The sequence below is a fragment of the Homo sapiens genome, chromosome 11 (assembly GCF_000001405.40).
Source record: "Homo sapiens chromosome 11, GRCh38.p14 Primary Assembly".
Lineage (NCBI taxonomy): Eukaryota > Metazoa > Chordata > Mammalia > Primates > Hominidae > Homo > Homo sapiens.
Window position 1 is genome coordinate 130384508 of NC_000011.10, and position 16452 is coordinate 130400959.

Below are 16452 nucleotides of genomic sequence, written 5' to 3' on the forward strand. Positions count from 1 at the left end.
CTGAGGCGGTAGGATCACTTGAGCCTGGGAAGTTGAAGCTGCCATGAGCTATGATCGGACCACTGCACTCCAGCCAGGGCAACAGAGCAAGACTCTCTCTCGATTAAAAACAAATAAACAAACAAAAAACAACCAGTTGTTCAGCATTTCTGTATCTTTGCCCAACTTTCTACAATGTGCCATGTGAGAGCATCACTTCCTAGTCTATACAGGATACAGTATGAATTCCTGCTTCTGCCATTCAGATTCCTCACAATGTAGTCCCAAACTACCTTTCTTTTTCTTTCTTTTTTTTTTTTTTTTGAGATAGGGTCTTGCTCTGTTGCTCAGGCTGGAGTGCAGTGGTGCAATCATGGCTTACTGCAGCCTCCACCTCCCCAGGCTCAGGTGATCCTCCCATCTCAGCCTTCCAAGTACCTGGGACTACAGGTGCACGCCATCACACCCAGCTAATTTTGTATTTTTTTGTAGCAATGGGGTTTCACCATGTTGCCCAGGGTGGTCTCAAACTCCTAGGCTCAAGGCATCCACCCACCTTGGCCTCCCAAAGTTTTGGGGTTACAGATGAGAGCCACCATGCCCAGCCTCCAAACTGTCTTTTTGATCTTATAACCACTGCACCCTTACTTTAACTTCTATGTAAGTGGATTGGTCTACTTTCCATTTTCCAATGCGCCTTGTACCATTTGTCATTATTGTAGTGGTCTCTTTGCCTAGATTGGCTCCCATTCTCTCTGCCTAGTGAAAGCTTTTCTGTCTACTGGGGCTGAGTTTGATTCTAGGGCCTCCATAACGACTCTCATCCACAGGTGTCTTTCTATAGCACGCATTATTTCTACTATTTTGTCAACAAGTAATTGTATCATAATCCATACTTTATTGTTGTATATACTGACTACAATTGAAAGATTTTAGATTGGAATTCTAGATTCTAGTCTCCCCTAGATTGGAAACCCCGTGAGGTCAGGGGTCATGCATGTGCTATGTGCTTGGTAACTCGTACAGTGTCAAGTGTTCTGTTCTACACATGAGAGGGGTTGGAAAGTGCTTGCTGATTGAATTAATCATAATCCACCCTTGAAAAAGCAGAGTTGGCAGTATTTATTAGTGAATCAAGTGACCCTTCAAGGACATTCTCTGGCTAAGCACTGGAACACTGGAATATGAAGTAGTAATTAAAGTTATTCTCAGGTCCAGAAGGGAACCCAGAGAATGTTACTCTCCTGACATCCCCTGGAGCCATCCAGAATGTCAGTTTAACTGACCTTACAGGTTGGGTTACTTCCAAAACTGTAGGTTTCTTGGATTCTATGCTATGAACTCAGAAGACCTGATTTTTACAATTATCATCCCTCAATATGTAGTTGATAATTTGTATTAAGGAAGGAACAACTGTGTCTAACTTTCTGCTAGATATTGTGGAGAATGCCTGGGAGATATATATATTTATTTATTATTATTTTTTAAATACAGGGTCTCACTCTGTCACCCAGGCTGGAGTACAATGGTGTGATCTCAGCTCACTGCAGCCTTGACCTCCCATGCTCAAGAGATCCTCCTACCTAAGCCTCCCATGTAGCTGGGACTACAAGCATTTGCCACTATGTCTGGCTATTTTTTTTGTATTTTTTGCAGAGACCAGGTTTTGCTGTGTTGCCTAGGCTGGTCTTGAACTCCTGGGCTCAAGCAATCCACCCCCCGTTGGCTGCCCAGAGTGTTGGGATTACAGGCGTGAGCCGCCATGCCTGGCATACCTGGGATATTTGTATAAGATGTGAATGCTTTTTATAAAAAATTTTGGTTTTGACCAATGCCTTTGGAATTCTTTAAGTAACTGAAACATATAGTCAGTGGCTGCAAACCTTTTTTTTAAAACAACAAATTTGACTTTTATAAACATCTAAATATCATTTTAGCTATATCTGATTAATAAAATGGAGACTCAGATACAATAATATCATTTTAGCAAAAGCAATAAACCAGGCACAGTGGCTCATGCCTGTAATCCCAGCACTTTGGGAGGCTGAGGCGGGCAGATAACTTGAGGTCAGGAGTTTGAGACCAGCCTGACCAACGTGGTGAAACCCCATCTCTACTAAAAATACAAAATTAGCCAGATGTGGTGGTGTATGCCTGTAATCCCAGCTACTCTGAAGGCTGAGAAGGGAGAATCGCTTGGACCCGGGAGGCTGAGTTTGCAGTGAGCCGAGATGGCGCCACTGCACTCCAGCCTGGGCGACAAAGTGACACTCTGTCTTAAAAAAAGCAAGAAACACACACACACACACACACACACACACAGAAAACCCATGATTTTTGCATGTGGCTTATAAAAGGGCTTTGACGGTAATTTGGAAAGATGCCTTTCAGAAATGTATTGAATTTTAGGAGCATTGCTGTAATAATAGTGGCTTTCACTGACTGAACATTTGTTGTGAGTCCTTAAGCACTCGATATTTAAAATCTTGTGTAATCCTAAAAGTAACCCTGTGAAGAGGTTTTTTGATGAGCTACATTTTAGAGGCCTGGAAGCTAATGGTTAGGATGGTTATCCAAGATGTTAACTCAGATTTCTCACACTCCAAGGTCCGTGCACCACGGTGGTGCCCACCTTGAAGGACAAACACTGACTGGTTGTGTTCAACTTAGTATTCTTAAGGCCACTTAGGGCTGTTCATTGTACAACCCCAGGAGGTGTCACTCATCTCCTGCTCCTAGCATATTTGGATAGTGTTTATGACAAATTTCTAGCAGACCACACTAAAGTGTCTTGAGGAAGGGGAGGTCTTTAATTCACAGTTGCTCAAAAGTTGAAAGTTGGTCTCAGTGCGCCATGGTCACCTGTAGAAGGCAGGGCCCTGAAACGGGGAGGGATTCAAAACCTTGAAAAGCTTTTACTTTATTTATTTATTTTTTTGAGATGGAGTTTCGCTCTTGTTGCCCAGGCTGGAGTGCAGTGGCACGATCTCGGCTCACTGCAACCTTTGCCTCCTGGGTTCAAGTGATTCTCTTGCCTCAGCCTCCTGAGTAGCTGGGACTACAGGTGCACCACCATGCCTGGCTCATTTTTGTATTTTTAGTAGAGACGGGGTTTCACCATGTTGGTCAGGCTGGTCACGAACCTCTGACCTCAGGTGATCCACCCACCTCGGCCTCCCAAAGTGCTGGGATTACAGGCTTGAGCCACCGCACCCAGCCTTGAGAAGCTTTTAGACGAGCCATGTTGGAACTGACAAATGAGAGTTCTTTCTTTATTTCTTTTTTTTTTTTTCTTGAGATGGAGTCTCACTCTGTCGCTTGGGCTGGAGTGCAGTGGTGCGATCTCCACTCACTGCAACCTCCGCCTCCAGCATTCATGCGATTCTCCTGCCTCAACCTCCCAAGTGGCTGGGATTACAGGTGCCTGTGACCACGCCTGCCTAATTTTTTTGTATTTTCAGTAGAGATAGGGTTTCACTATGTTGGCCAGGCTGGTCTCGAACTCCTGACCTCGTGATCCACCTGCCTCAGCCTCCCAAAGTGCTGGGGTTACAGGCATGAGCCACCTCACTCGGCCTTTTCTGTTTTTTTAAGACAGGGTATCGCACTGTTACCTAGGCTGGAGTGCAGTGCCACCATCATGGCTCACTGCAGCCTCAATCTCCTGGGGCTCAAGCAATCCTCCTACCTCAGCCTCCTGAGTAGCTGGAACCATGGGTGCTTACCATCACACCTGGCTAGGTTTTAAAAAAATGTTTTTATTTTGTAGAGATGGGATCTCCCTATGTTGCCCATGCTGGAGACTTTGTATTACTTAGGATCTGACACAATATCTCACTTACCTTTTTTCTGTCTTTGGAGTGAACTATATTTTCCCCTAATCTTAGGTGTTAATTTAGTTTCATGGAACAGGCAATGTACAATATTAAGAATTGATTGTATGGGAGATGCTATGGTAGGTCCCTGGCAGAAAGAATGAGGATGCGGAATGAGGAGAGAAGGATCAGTGGTGGGCATGGAGTGACATGGTCGGGGTGGGAACTCAAGAGAGATGCAAACGTGAGTAAGATGTGGGCTTGACCACAATGTATAAACGTAGAGGAGACCCAACTATGAAGGCTGTCCGTAAGTGTTATGGTGGTGGGGGCGGAAGGCATAAACAAAATCCTCTGGGTACACAGGAGATAGAGAAATACATTCTGCCTGGGAGAGCTGGAGAAAGCTTCATGCAGAGGGTGACATCTGAGCTGACTCTTGAAGGATGGGTAGGCCCCACACACACAGAGAAGAAAGGAACAGTAGCAGGAAAGCCATGAGGTGACAGTGGTCTACGGGCTAACATGAGAGTGAGCTACACGTGTTGGGGGTGGGTAGGAACTGTGGCAGGAAAAGCAAAGAACCTTGAATGTCCTCTTAAAGACTGTAGATTTTCTACGGGCAACGGGAGTCACTGAAGGTTTTTGAGCAGAGGAGTGGTGTCTTTTGATCTTTTGATTTTCCAGGGCTGGCTCCTTTGGCGTGTGCGGTTACCTGGTAGCGTCGGTTATATGATGTGGTGCGAGACTGTGCTTTCACTTTTCCTTTCCAGGGGAGCCCTCTCAAGGAAGAGAACATTATTGTGCTTTTATCTCCTTTTGTCCAGCCTTAGTTTGATCCTCTGTTTGCCATTTCCCCTCTCTTCCCTTTGATGTTCTTGGCAAGGGAAGAGTTATACCATTGACATCTTCCTATTGACATCTGTGTCAGGTATTTGATTCCTAATACCACATGATTATTCTTTTTGATGAATCAATGGGCAAGGAAATAAGTTGCTCTCACTGTCCATGGGTTGGAAACCCAGGAAAGTTTAGGAATAAAAGAGTCGAAGAAAGCAGCACACAGACAGAGAGGTGGGACGTGCATGAGAGCAGAGGACAGCATGCCGTGGTTGGAGGAGGTCTCAAAATAGAAGGTGCTTCTCTTGGGATTCACACCGCGGGCCTTGGCAGGCAGCCCACCCTTATCGTCATTAATTTCCTGAGTTCAGAATTGGGTACCACACCCTGGTGTTAAGCTGTTAACCTCCAGCATCAAGGCCACAGCCGCTGGGGAGAATTCTTTTCTCAAGCTGTGGCCTCGTCAGAGTTGTCCTCTGAACATGCCACAAAGGGTGAATGTTCCATCCAGTCCCACAATTCTGGAATTCTATGTATACTTATGTACCTCCCACGCCTTTCCTCCAGGACACGCACACACAGAGCAAAGTCTTCCTATAGCGGGCCATGATGCTGCAATTGCAGAGTATGTAAGTGTATGTGTAGGCGTGTGTATATTTGTAAAAGCAGAAGTGCACGCATACGTGTGTGTGTGCATGTGCATGCACATGTGTATAGGGGCATGCGTGTGCATGTGCACACAGAAATATGTAGGCTTTCAATACATAGAACACGACTTTCCTTTCAGACCTTTCTTTCTTCTATTGCCTGAAAGTATAAAACCTGAAATAATGTGGATAGTTTGAGGAAACCAAGGATGTTTCTAGAGCCTGGCTTTTCATAGGCTCTAGAAACAGAGCTCTGTCTGCTCTAGGTTTCGAGACTGGTTACCGTTCTCAGATCCAGGAGTTCTTTAGACGTCATCCAGTTTTCCTTGCTATGTGCTGTGAAATTACAGCCGTGCCATCAGTAGAGGGCTCCCTCAACCTTAGAAGCTGGTGAGAATGCTTGAAGGCCACGCAATGTAAATGGGAGAAAAATGCAGATCTGACTGTGAATTTTAAATCCAGTGCCCCAAAGTACTTTTGAAGAGAAGAAACCCTAACCCATCCTGAAAACAGACGATTTCAGCAAGAAGGTATTTGTAGTGTTTACATTACATGACACTGTTTAAATTCCTGGATCAAGGTCAGTGTAATGTTTATGCTCAGAGTAACACATAGCTAAGTTATTCTTCAAAGAACGCAAGAAGCAGGGCAACTCCCTGACCAATGGTTTAATTGTTTCTGGACGCGTCACTCATGTTCCTAAACTCAGGGTTTCCTAACTATACAATTACAGAACCATCAATCACCTTCAGTCTCAGTCCTGGGCCAAAGCTTTGCAGATGCCAGATCTCAATTTGGCATTTACCCAGATTTGTGCCAGCTAAACGTCAAGTGTCCGGCTGATAAAGCACCATGTCCGGGTGTTGAATGCCACAGTCTGCTCAGGTAATTGCAGCTGGCCAGCTGCTCTGCATTAACATTGAGAAGGCTGAGTGGTGGATATGCAGGCAGGGGAAGGAAGCCGGACACTGCTGAATCAATGTTTATCTATTGGTTGATATGTCTCTTTTTTACAATTTTTGAGACAGGGTCTTACTCTTTCACCCAGGCTGGAGTGCAGTGGCACAATCCTGGCTCACTGCAGCCTCCACCTCCTGGGCTCAAGCAATCCTCTTGCCTCAGCCTCTCAAGTAGCTGGGCCTACAGGTGCATGCCACCACATCTAGCTAAGTTTTTTAATTTTTGTAGAGATGTGGTTTTACTATGTTGCCCAGGCTGGTCTCGAATTCCTGGGCTAAAGCTATCCTCCCACCTCAGCCTCCCAAAGTGCATGAGCCACTCACTGCACCTGGCCTAAAGTTAGTATCTCGTGAGAGTATTCCGATTTTCCACTCTGAAGACAAAGTGGTCTAGGATCCAAGAGCATGTATTAGTCGGAATTGGAGTGTTCTCTCCCTCGAAATGTGCTAGGTAACCACTGTCCCGGTTTTGGATTGAACTCTTTTCCTTATGAGCTCTAGTCGGCCAAGCACGCTCCATTATTATAACATCATCTGAGACATGTCACAATGAATAAGGCCACCACTTGCTTGGCTTTGGGTATGTGTCCCTGAGGAAACTGCAGGAGCACACCCCAAATTCCTTAACTACATTTGGGAGGTATCTTGGGCTTTTAATTGGGGGTTGTAAGGACATATCTGGGCAGTGGGTGAGGCTTCCTGATGTTCTCAAATTCTGGAGAAAAGGAGACACCATACAATGTGACCAAAATCTACCTCTGACCCGTCTGCTATCAAAATGTATCAAACACAGCAACAAAGCCAAAGAATCACCTGCAGACTGGGGGGCGGAAGGGCTTGGGGACTGGAGAGAAAGCGGAGTTCGTGAGGTCAGGGTCTGTCATTGTGAACTGTATAGGTTTCCAAGAAGTAGCATGAGTCTTCTTCATGATAGAAAGGTAAATGCGCACAACTAGAAGTCTTGGGGAAGCCACTCCAGCCCACTGCAGTGGGAAACTTAGTGATTTCTGTTTGTCCTGGCTTCCTCCATTCAGATGTTTCTCATCAGCTACGTTCAGATTGATTCCATTTGCAAAGCTCTCCTGGCAGTCTCGGCGGAGCAGGCTTGGTGGCAAAATCTCTGGCATTTTCTGATCCTGTCCAGGCTCTGCTCTTCTTGTGTAGTTTCTTGGCGCTTTGGCTCCCAAGCAGAAACTGGCTAAACAGAGGCTGCTGCTGAACAAAGCCAAATGTAAAACAGAACATTGGAACGCCAAGCGGAGTGGTTTTGCTAAATGTGGGGGCTGGGAATGGGCAGAGGACAGTGAGGGATCAGGAGAGGGAGGGACCTCCTTAGAATCGGGCTGAATTACGCCCTGGTGAAAGTCTGTCGCGGCCCCATCATATCCGCATCCTCACTCACTGTGCAAGATCAAAGGTTGCATCCTTTCGCTCTCCAGTCTCACTAACGAACACAATATTTGGGTTGCACCCAGCAGCACCCTCTCATTTCCTGGCCCCCGTGAAGGTGTATGATCCTCGAGGCCCTGACACCTCTCTTCCTTCTCATCATCCATCAGCCCTGCCTCGCAGCCTCTTGTCAGTTTCCTTCTCGGCATCCCCCTCCCCAGCTGCACTGTTCCACACCTGCCCCATCTTTTCTTCGCCCACTTGATGCTAACATTTCCTGTACTGTTCTGAAGGGTCCTCATCCTCCCTCTCTTCACACTGCCGCAGCAGGGCGAGGAGGTCCAGTTGGAGAAACTGCCAGTTTCTCCCTTCCAGTGTCAGGAGAGGGAGAAGGATGCTGCTGTCACGGCCCCTTGGTTCTCTGTTGCAGGGGCTGACAGCACGCCTTCTGTTACTCTGGTACTTCATCTTGCTGTCTGGATTTAACTTCCCCACGAGCAGATCACACAGTCTGAACTTCCGGTGGATAGCTGAGTATTAGGAAGCAGGGAGCCCACTGGCTTTAAGTCCAAGATGTTTATCGAGTCCAGTAAAGCGGATTCACACACACATGCACAGGCACATCCGTGCACACGATCATGCAGTCTTATGGTTACACAGTTCAAAATTCAAAAGGTGCAAAAAGGCAGAGAGTGAATGTTCTCCCCTTTGTTTTCCCCTAGCTTCTTAGTTCTCCTCAGCAGAGGCACCTGTGTTTAAGCATCTCCTCTTCTGGGCGTGTTTTATACACATTCAGACAAATATGTGCTTACACTCACATATTTCTTCCACAATTGGTAGCATACCATAGATATGGTTCAACACCTTGCTGTTTTTCACTTTTTAAAATGGCTGCATAGTATTTTTTTTTCTTTTCTTGAGATGGAGTTTCGCTCTTGTTGCCCAGGTTGGAGTGTAATGGCACGATCTTGGCTCACTGCAACCTCCGCCTCCAGATTCAGGAAAATCAAGAGATTCTCCTGCCTCAGCCTCCTTAGTAGCTGGGATTACAGGTACACACCACCACGCCTGGCTAATTTTTTGTATCTTTAGTAGAGATGGGGTTTCACCGTGTTGGCCTGGCTGGTCTTGAACTCCTGACCTCACATGATCCACCCACCTTGGCCTCCCAAAGTGCTGGGATTACAGGCATGAGCCACCGTGCCCAGCCATGGCTGCATAGTATTTTGTTGAAAGAATTTCCGTAATTTATCTAACTAGTCCCGTACAGATGGGCATCAGGTTGTTCCCAATCTTTTGCTATTATAAAAAATAAAGCTGACATTTTGATCCTCACATCTTGTGTTTATTTCCCAAAGGCTTAGGACTCAGAGGAGAGAGGAGTGTGGTCTACACTGCACATCTCTGCCAAGCCTGGCACGGGATTTGAAGTTCCACACCACTGAGCCAAACACATCCAGGTCTGCTTTTTTGTTCCCCTTAATTCCCTCCAACTTGCCAGCATGCACAGAATTTATGCTACCAATTTTGGTGTTCACTAAATTAGGTAATTTTATGCGTTTCTTTATCTTTCTCTGCCTAGACCCTCTTCCAACCCGGGGATCTGGTGGTAAGCAAAATACTATTCCAGCAAGTGATGCCCCCAGTCTCCTAAGGATATAAGGTATTGAATTTCCTACATTCATGTAGTGTGTTGTAATTTGCAAACCACCGTCACACAGCATTCTTTCATTTGATTTTTGCATACATTTTTTGAGGCTGGTAGGACATCTTCTAGATGAAGAAACTGAGGCTCAGAGGAACTGACTGAATGGCTTGCCCAAGGTCACCTAATTGGTGAATGGCGAAGACAAAACTCAAAACCAGGCCATCTAACGCTCCGCCTGTTCCTTTTCTAACACGTGCTGATCCTTTAGCATATATATGACGTCAAAGTCAGCTCTCAATTTGCAATATGGTGGGAGGCTGAAGTTCTAGCAAATTTGCCTCCAGATTTTATTTTCATCACCAGATAGGGCGAGGCTATTGGGAATTAAGGACCAATACATCCACAGTGAGCCACTGGGATAGTGCGTAACCTAATCAGGGCAATGCCAGTTGTCCACGGAGCAGGAGAAAGTGTGTTGGAGAGGAGGGCCAGGACTGGAAGCCTCTGACCTAAAAGCACATGCTTGATGTGGAGGTCAAGGCGTAGGCTTACAAGCTGGGCAACAGGGAGCGAGGAAAGGAATGCGCATTTACGGAGCGTCCACTATGGGCCGTGCTGACCCATTAATCACTCCCAGAACTTGGGAAGGACACTCACAGAGATAGGCCAAGGCTGTGCCAGTTCACACCAGTCTTGTGGTGCTCTGCCCAGCAGATGGGGGACATTCTCAAGGGTGGGCAAGGGGCTTCATAAGTGGTGATGCCCAGTGCTGAGGGATAGGTTCTGGGCTCATCTCAGAACAGCCTCTTCTCTCCAGAGACTCAGGCCCAATTCCGTGTGTGTGTGGCTCTGCCTCTGTCAGGATGAGGCTTCTTTGCAGCAGCTTCTCAGCTCTGGGAGCACATGTTTCTGGCAGTTTTCTGCATCTGTTCACTCTGATGCTTGGATGTACTACTCGGGCTGCAGAGAGCATGCTTCGAGGGAGCTGTGGACGAGGTTCAGCGGCACCAATGCTGCAGACAGCTGAGCAGCCCCCTGGGAGGCAGGGGCTATTGAACAGGCATGAACTCTGGGCACGCTCCTGAAAGAGAAAGCCATACTTTCCAGGGGCACTGCTGAGTATCCCCATGGTAACCCAGGACTGGGTTATCACAGGCCCAGATGCTGAGCTGAGGACTTTAGGACTTCTTCTATAGGCAGTGGGAATTATTGAAAAACTTTCAGGAAAGAAGTGACAAGATTAGACTACATTTTAGAAATACTTCTCTGTCAGCAATTCACTCATTTTTTCTCGGAACACTGAGATCGTTAGCTATGGACTGACTTGTGTCTCCCCAAAATTCATATGTTGAAGCCCTGACTTCCAAAGTGACAGTATTTGCAGCTGGGGCCTTTGGGAGACAATTAGGTTTAATGAGATCCTGAGGGTGGGGCGCTTGGGATGGGATTAGTGCTCTTATAAGAAGAAACTGCAGAGAGCTCCCTATCTCTTCTCCACACACGTGCATGGAGGAAAGGCTGTATGAGCACACAGTGAGAAGGCAGCCATCTGCAGTCCAGGAAGAGAGTGCTCACCAGAACTCAGCCATACAGACTCCCTGAGCTCAAACTTCCAGCCTCCAGAACTGTGAAAATACATTTCTGTTGTATAGGCCATGCAGTCAGTGGCATTTTGTTACAGCAGCCCAAGCTAACTGAAACAGTGCATTACCACATGGCCAGCACTAGGTTGGCTCCAAATATCCATCAGTGAACAAAGAGTCCTTCCCCTCATGGAGCTTGCAGTCTAGTCGGGTGGAGGGAAGCATTAAATGAACAGTATTAATCCCAACACTCTGGGAAGACAAGGCGGGCGGATCACCTGAGGTCAGGAGTTTGACACCAGCCTGGCCAACATGGCGAAACCCTGTTTCTACTAAACATACAAAAATTAGCCAGGGGTGCTGGCACGTGCCTGTAATCCCAGCTACTCGGGAGGCTGAGGCAGGAGAATCTCTTGAACCCGGGAGGCAGAGGTTGCAGTGAGCTAAGGCTCATCATTGCACTCTAGCCTGGGCAACAAGAACGAAACTGTCTCAAAACAAACAAACAAAAGAACAGTCAATGTGAGATACATAGAATTGTTAATTATGAGAGTTACAGGGACCTCACTTAGATTGGAGGAGATAGGAAGGACTTTCTTAGGCTGTGATTGTCAACCTGAGACCCTAAGGATGAGTTGGGAAAGCCATGGGGGAGCACGAGAGAGAGCATCCCAGGCTTGGGACTGGCATGTGGGAATCCGCTAAGTGAGAAAGGGCTTGGTGAGCAAGTGACAAAAGAAAGTGTCACCAGGGGGATAGAGTGACATAAAATAAGACTGGGAGCTAGTAGGTGGCAGTCCACAGAGGAGCTTGGAGGGCTTGTTAGGAGGTGTGGATTTTTTAAAAAAATTCTTTGTGCATTTGGAAGCCATTAAAGGGTTTCAAAGGGTTTTCAATGGAGAAGTGAAATGATCCAATTTTCTTTTCTTTTCTTTTTTTTTTTTTGAGGCAGAGTCTCACTCTGTCAGCCAGGCTGGAGTGCAGTGGCATGATCTCGGCTCACTGCAACCTCTGCCTCCCTGGCTCAAGCAATTCTCCTGCCTCAGCCTCCCAAGTAGCTGGGATTACAGGCGTGTGCCACCACGCCTGGCTAATTTTTGTATTTTTAGTAGAGATGGGGATTCACCATGTTGGCCAGTCTGGTCTCGAACTCTTGACCTCAGGTAATCTGCCTGCCTCAGCCTCCCAAAGTGCTGGGATTACAGGCATGAGCCACCGTGCCCAGCCCCAATTTTCATGTTTAAAAGATCACTGAGTAATGTGAGGATGGGATTAGAGGGATGTGAAGTGAAATGGGACAGGGCTGTTGAAGCCATGCTGGGTGAGGGGATGGAGAGCCCCCTGAAGGCAGCAGCAATGGAGACGGAGGAGGAGTTTGCATTTGAGGGCCAGTGGATAGGAGGGGTGGAGAAGAAGGGGAAACAGAAGATAGGTCCTGGCCAGGCACAGTGGCTCATGCCTGAAATCCTAGCACATTGGAAGGCTGAGGCAGGAGCATCACTGGAGCCTAGGAGTTGCAGTGAACTATGATTGCACCACCACACTCCAGCCTAGGTGACAGAGCAAGACTCTGTCTCTTAAAAAAAAAAAAAAAAAAAAAAAAAGATAGGGTATAGGTGTAACAGCTGGGAGGAAGAGAGTGAGTTTGACTTTGAGCAAATTGAGTCAGGTGGGAAGTTGGAAACATACCCAGCCTGTGCAGAAAGGAGTTATCACAGCGGGCCTGACACTGCTGTTCATAGAAACACCTGCCTGCAAGGTTGGCCCTTGGCTGGCATCTGGGAACTTGGCTCTCAGAGCATCCCTAGTTAACAGTTAACTGATAAGGTGGTTCCCCATGGCTAGACTGTCTGTGCAGACAACACAATTTATGCCAAACACCTACTTTCCATCTGAGAGTCTAGGATTTTGCTAGGCAGAGGGTGCCCATGTGACCAGACCCCAGTTAAGACCTTTGGGCACTAAGTCGGTACTGGGCTTCCCCAGGCAGAAATGTCACACGTGTGTTGCTGCATTTTTACGGAGGGACAGTGGGCTCTGTGGGACCCTGGTGGTCGGAAAGAGCATAAGGAAGCCTGGCATGGGTTCCTCTAGACTCTGCCTGTGCCTTGACCCCTTATGATCCAGCGTGTGTCCTCACCACAGCAAAAGGATAAAGCCTCGCCATGAGCACAGCTGTGTGCTGAGTCCCAGGAGCCCTTCCAGAGAACCTTCAAACATGAGGTAGGCATGGGGGCCGCAGACACACAGCCTCTGGATTTAAATTTGGGAGTAATCAGCAGATAGGAAAAAATGGAAACCATAGGGGTGGATGGGATCAGCCAGGAAGAGTGAACAGAACCCAGAGGAACTCAACAACTTAGGGATAACAAGAGGGAGAGGGCATGCAGAGGAGGCCAGGATGCAGGCACAGGACTGAGGCAGGTCTGTTGGACTTAGCACAAGGTCATCGATGACCTTGGCAACACAGTCCCGTGGGCAGTGGTGTGGGGAGCTGGCTTGTTAGGGCGTGAGGAAGGGAGCAGTTCTCTCAAGTATGACTGTGGAAGGTGCACAGAGGTAGCAGAGAGAAATATGGGGAAGTGGAACATATTTTTCAAAGGGGAAAGGGAACGTGATCATTTTTTTTCTCTGCCTGCTTTATGGCAGGCTGTCAGCTAGACACGAGTGATGCAAATGAAGATGAGATGTGGCCTGGGACTCACAGTGTATGGTCCAGCAGCAAAGACAGAAGGAAGGGTGCTGAGTGTTTGAAAAGTGAAGTGCAGGCAGGGCATGGTGGCCCATGCCTATAATCCCAGCACTTTGGGAGGCCGTGAGGCGGGAGGATCACTTGAGGTCAGGAGTTTGAGACCAGCCTGGCCAACATGGTGAAACCTTATCTGTACTAAAAATACAAAAATTAGTCAGGTATGGTGGCGGGAGCCTGTAATACCAGCTACTCAGGAGGCTGAGGCAGGAGGATCACTTGAACCCAGGAGGCGGAGGTTGCAGTGAGCTGAGATCGTGCCGCTGCACTCCAGCCTGGGCAACAAAACCAGACTCTGTCAAAAAAAAAGCTAAGTGCACAGCAACATGAGGGTGCTTAACCTAACCTGAGGGTTTCATTGAGGGTGTGACCTTTAATCTGTGACCTGAAGAATAAGTAGGACTATGTTAAAGTGGGGAGAGAAGAAAGAGGAAAAGGAACATTTCCGGAAGAGGGAAGAGTATATGTGATGTTTGGAGAGAGAAGTTGTGTGCTTTGGAAGAGCAGCAGGAATTCAGGGAGCGAGGGGAGAGTGGAGAGACATAGCTGTGAAATGCGGGAGTGAAAAGACACAGCACCTGCGAACACCGATGGGGAGCTGTCAGCAGAGAGGGAGGGGCTGGGTCTTTGGGAAGGGAGGGGATGGTGGAGGGGCTGAGCGCCTTGAGAGGGTGGAGGGCTGCAGTATTGAGAAGGGATTAGTTTTGACAGTGGGAAAATACCTCTCATGTAACAGAAACAGAAGGAGAAAGGATAGATTTTAAAAAGGATGGATATACAATGGTTTTCAATTTATGATGGTTCAGCTTACAATCAATTGTTTGACTGTTCGATGGGTTTATCCCAATGTAACCCGATTGTAAGTGGAGGAGCGTCTGGGCTTAGGACGATTCAACTTACACATTTTTGACTTTACAATGGATTTATTGGGATATTAAACGCATTTTAGTCTTACGATATTACCATGGGTTTATTGGGGATGTAACTCTGTGTAAATTGAGGCGCATCCGTAGCTACCAGCAAGATTTCAGGATTCGTGGTAAGAAACGAACAGGGTTTTTAAAATTACGATTTCATTTTCTTGTGTTTTTTTTTTTTTTCCTCACCCTGTCCTGCTTCCTGAGATCTGACACATTTGTAGGCTAGGCTTTCGGTAATGTAACTCCAGATGGAGAAGAGGGAGACATTTTTTCACATCCTAATGCACCAGGGATAGGCTAGCAGGAGGCCACAGTTAGTACTGTGCAAAGCCTACTCTCTTAGGTATGCTGTCCTTGGTCCTGTCCCTGTGAGAGATTTTCCCCCTTCCCCTCACCCACCTTTGGGATCTGAAGAACCATCTCCATCTAACAGTGAAACTAGAAAGAACCGAGGGACTGACAGACCATGTCAGGGCCACACCCAGGACTCCAAACAGTGGTGGAAACTGAGGGGCCAACAAGGAGGATGAGGTAGAGAAGCTGGGCCATGAGGGAGCCTGGGTGTGTATTTATTTATTTACTTTTGAGAAGGGGTCTGGCTCTGTCACCCAGGCTGAAGTGCAGTGGTAGGATCACAGCTCACTGCAGCCTCGACCTCCCTGGGCTCAGGTGATCCTCCCACCTCAGCCTCCTGGGTAGCTGGAACAGCCCTGGCTAAGTTTTTTATATGTTTTATAGAAACGAGGTCTTACCATGTTGTCCAGGCTGGTCTCAAACTCTCGGCCTCAAGTGATTTGCCTGCCTCAGCCTCCCCAGATGCTGGAATTCCCGGCATGAGTCACTGTGCCCGGCGTATTTTTCTTTTTCTTTGTTTTTTTTTGTTTTAGACCTAGGTGTTTAAATCTCATGATGTACTGTGCCCTTCAGAGAGCTGGAGGATTAATTTAATCAGGGGGAGGAGTTATCTTCTGAGTCTTCACTCTCCTATGGACTTGACAGAGATTGAAACATGCCTGTTGAATCCAAAATAAGAGAGAGTTATAATGTTCCTCTAGATTCGTGTCTATACGTGGCCCGTTAATGGTGAGCTGGTGTCCCCTCTCCCTTCCATGATAAGAGATACGGTACTGGGCTCCACTTAGCAGTGGAGGTGAGTTTGTTCACTCACAGCGAAGCGTGGCATGGGGATGAGCTGGAGGAGCATGGGAAGCGCAGAATAGTTCTGTGGACAACCATCGGTATTGCTGAGAGGGGGTCTGCTCGGGTTGCTGGACAGTTTCCATCAAACGCTGTAACTTTATGGTGGCACCAGTGTGCTCAGGGCTGGGATTCCCCCGGGGTGTGGATCTGCTTGTAGCAGGATGACGTGAGAGGTGAGAGGTGGGGAGAGGGGAATGGGTGCCGTGTGAGGCTCTGCCTGCTGAGCAGCACAGAGAGTCTGTGGGGCAAGGGCAGTGAGAACACTGGCAAGATTGAGGTGGAGGCGCTGAACGTGGAGTCCAAGCAGCTCAGGGAAAGCTGAAGACAGAGGAGCAGGAAAGATGGATGGGGGAAGGACACGTGCGGAGGCGGTCAGGGCATGGGGAAGGATGCATTTATGGGAAAGATCTGGGAAGATGGGAGATTGTGGTTGAGGAGGAGGAGATTTGATGTAGGACTTCAGAGGTGGAGCAGTTCTGAGTAATGAGCAGCTTCAGAACGTGGCTTCAGGGCAGCCTCGTTGAACCTTGTCACTGATGGGACCCTCTCTTCCATCCCATGTCCACATGGCTTCTCTCCTTGCAGCCTCTGACGCACCTCCCCCGCAGCTACCCTTTTCCTATTTTCTGGTCCAGCAAGAGGAACTCACAGCATCTTTTCTTACTTCCGGAGAAATTCATTCCACATGTGTCTGATTCATTCGCGTTTACAGAAACTTGAAAT

General features: G+C 47.6%; 1 long non-coding RNA gene across 1 annotated transcript in view; it reads left to right on the forward strand.

Moving 5' to 3' along the window:
• Positions 1-16452, forward strand: part of ZBTB44-DT (ZBTB44 divergent transcript) — an 88665-nt gene that overhangs the window by 69515 nt on the left and 2698 nt on the right. The window contains exons 3-5 of the long non-coding RNA NR_148980.1: positions 8988-9089; positions 9212-9292; positions 13006-13083. This is a non-coding gene — a long non-coding RNA (ZBTB44 divergent transcript). The remainder of the gene's footprint in view (positions 1-8987; positions 9090-9211; positions 9293-13005; positions 13084-16452) is intronic.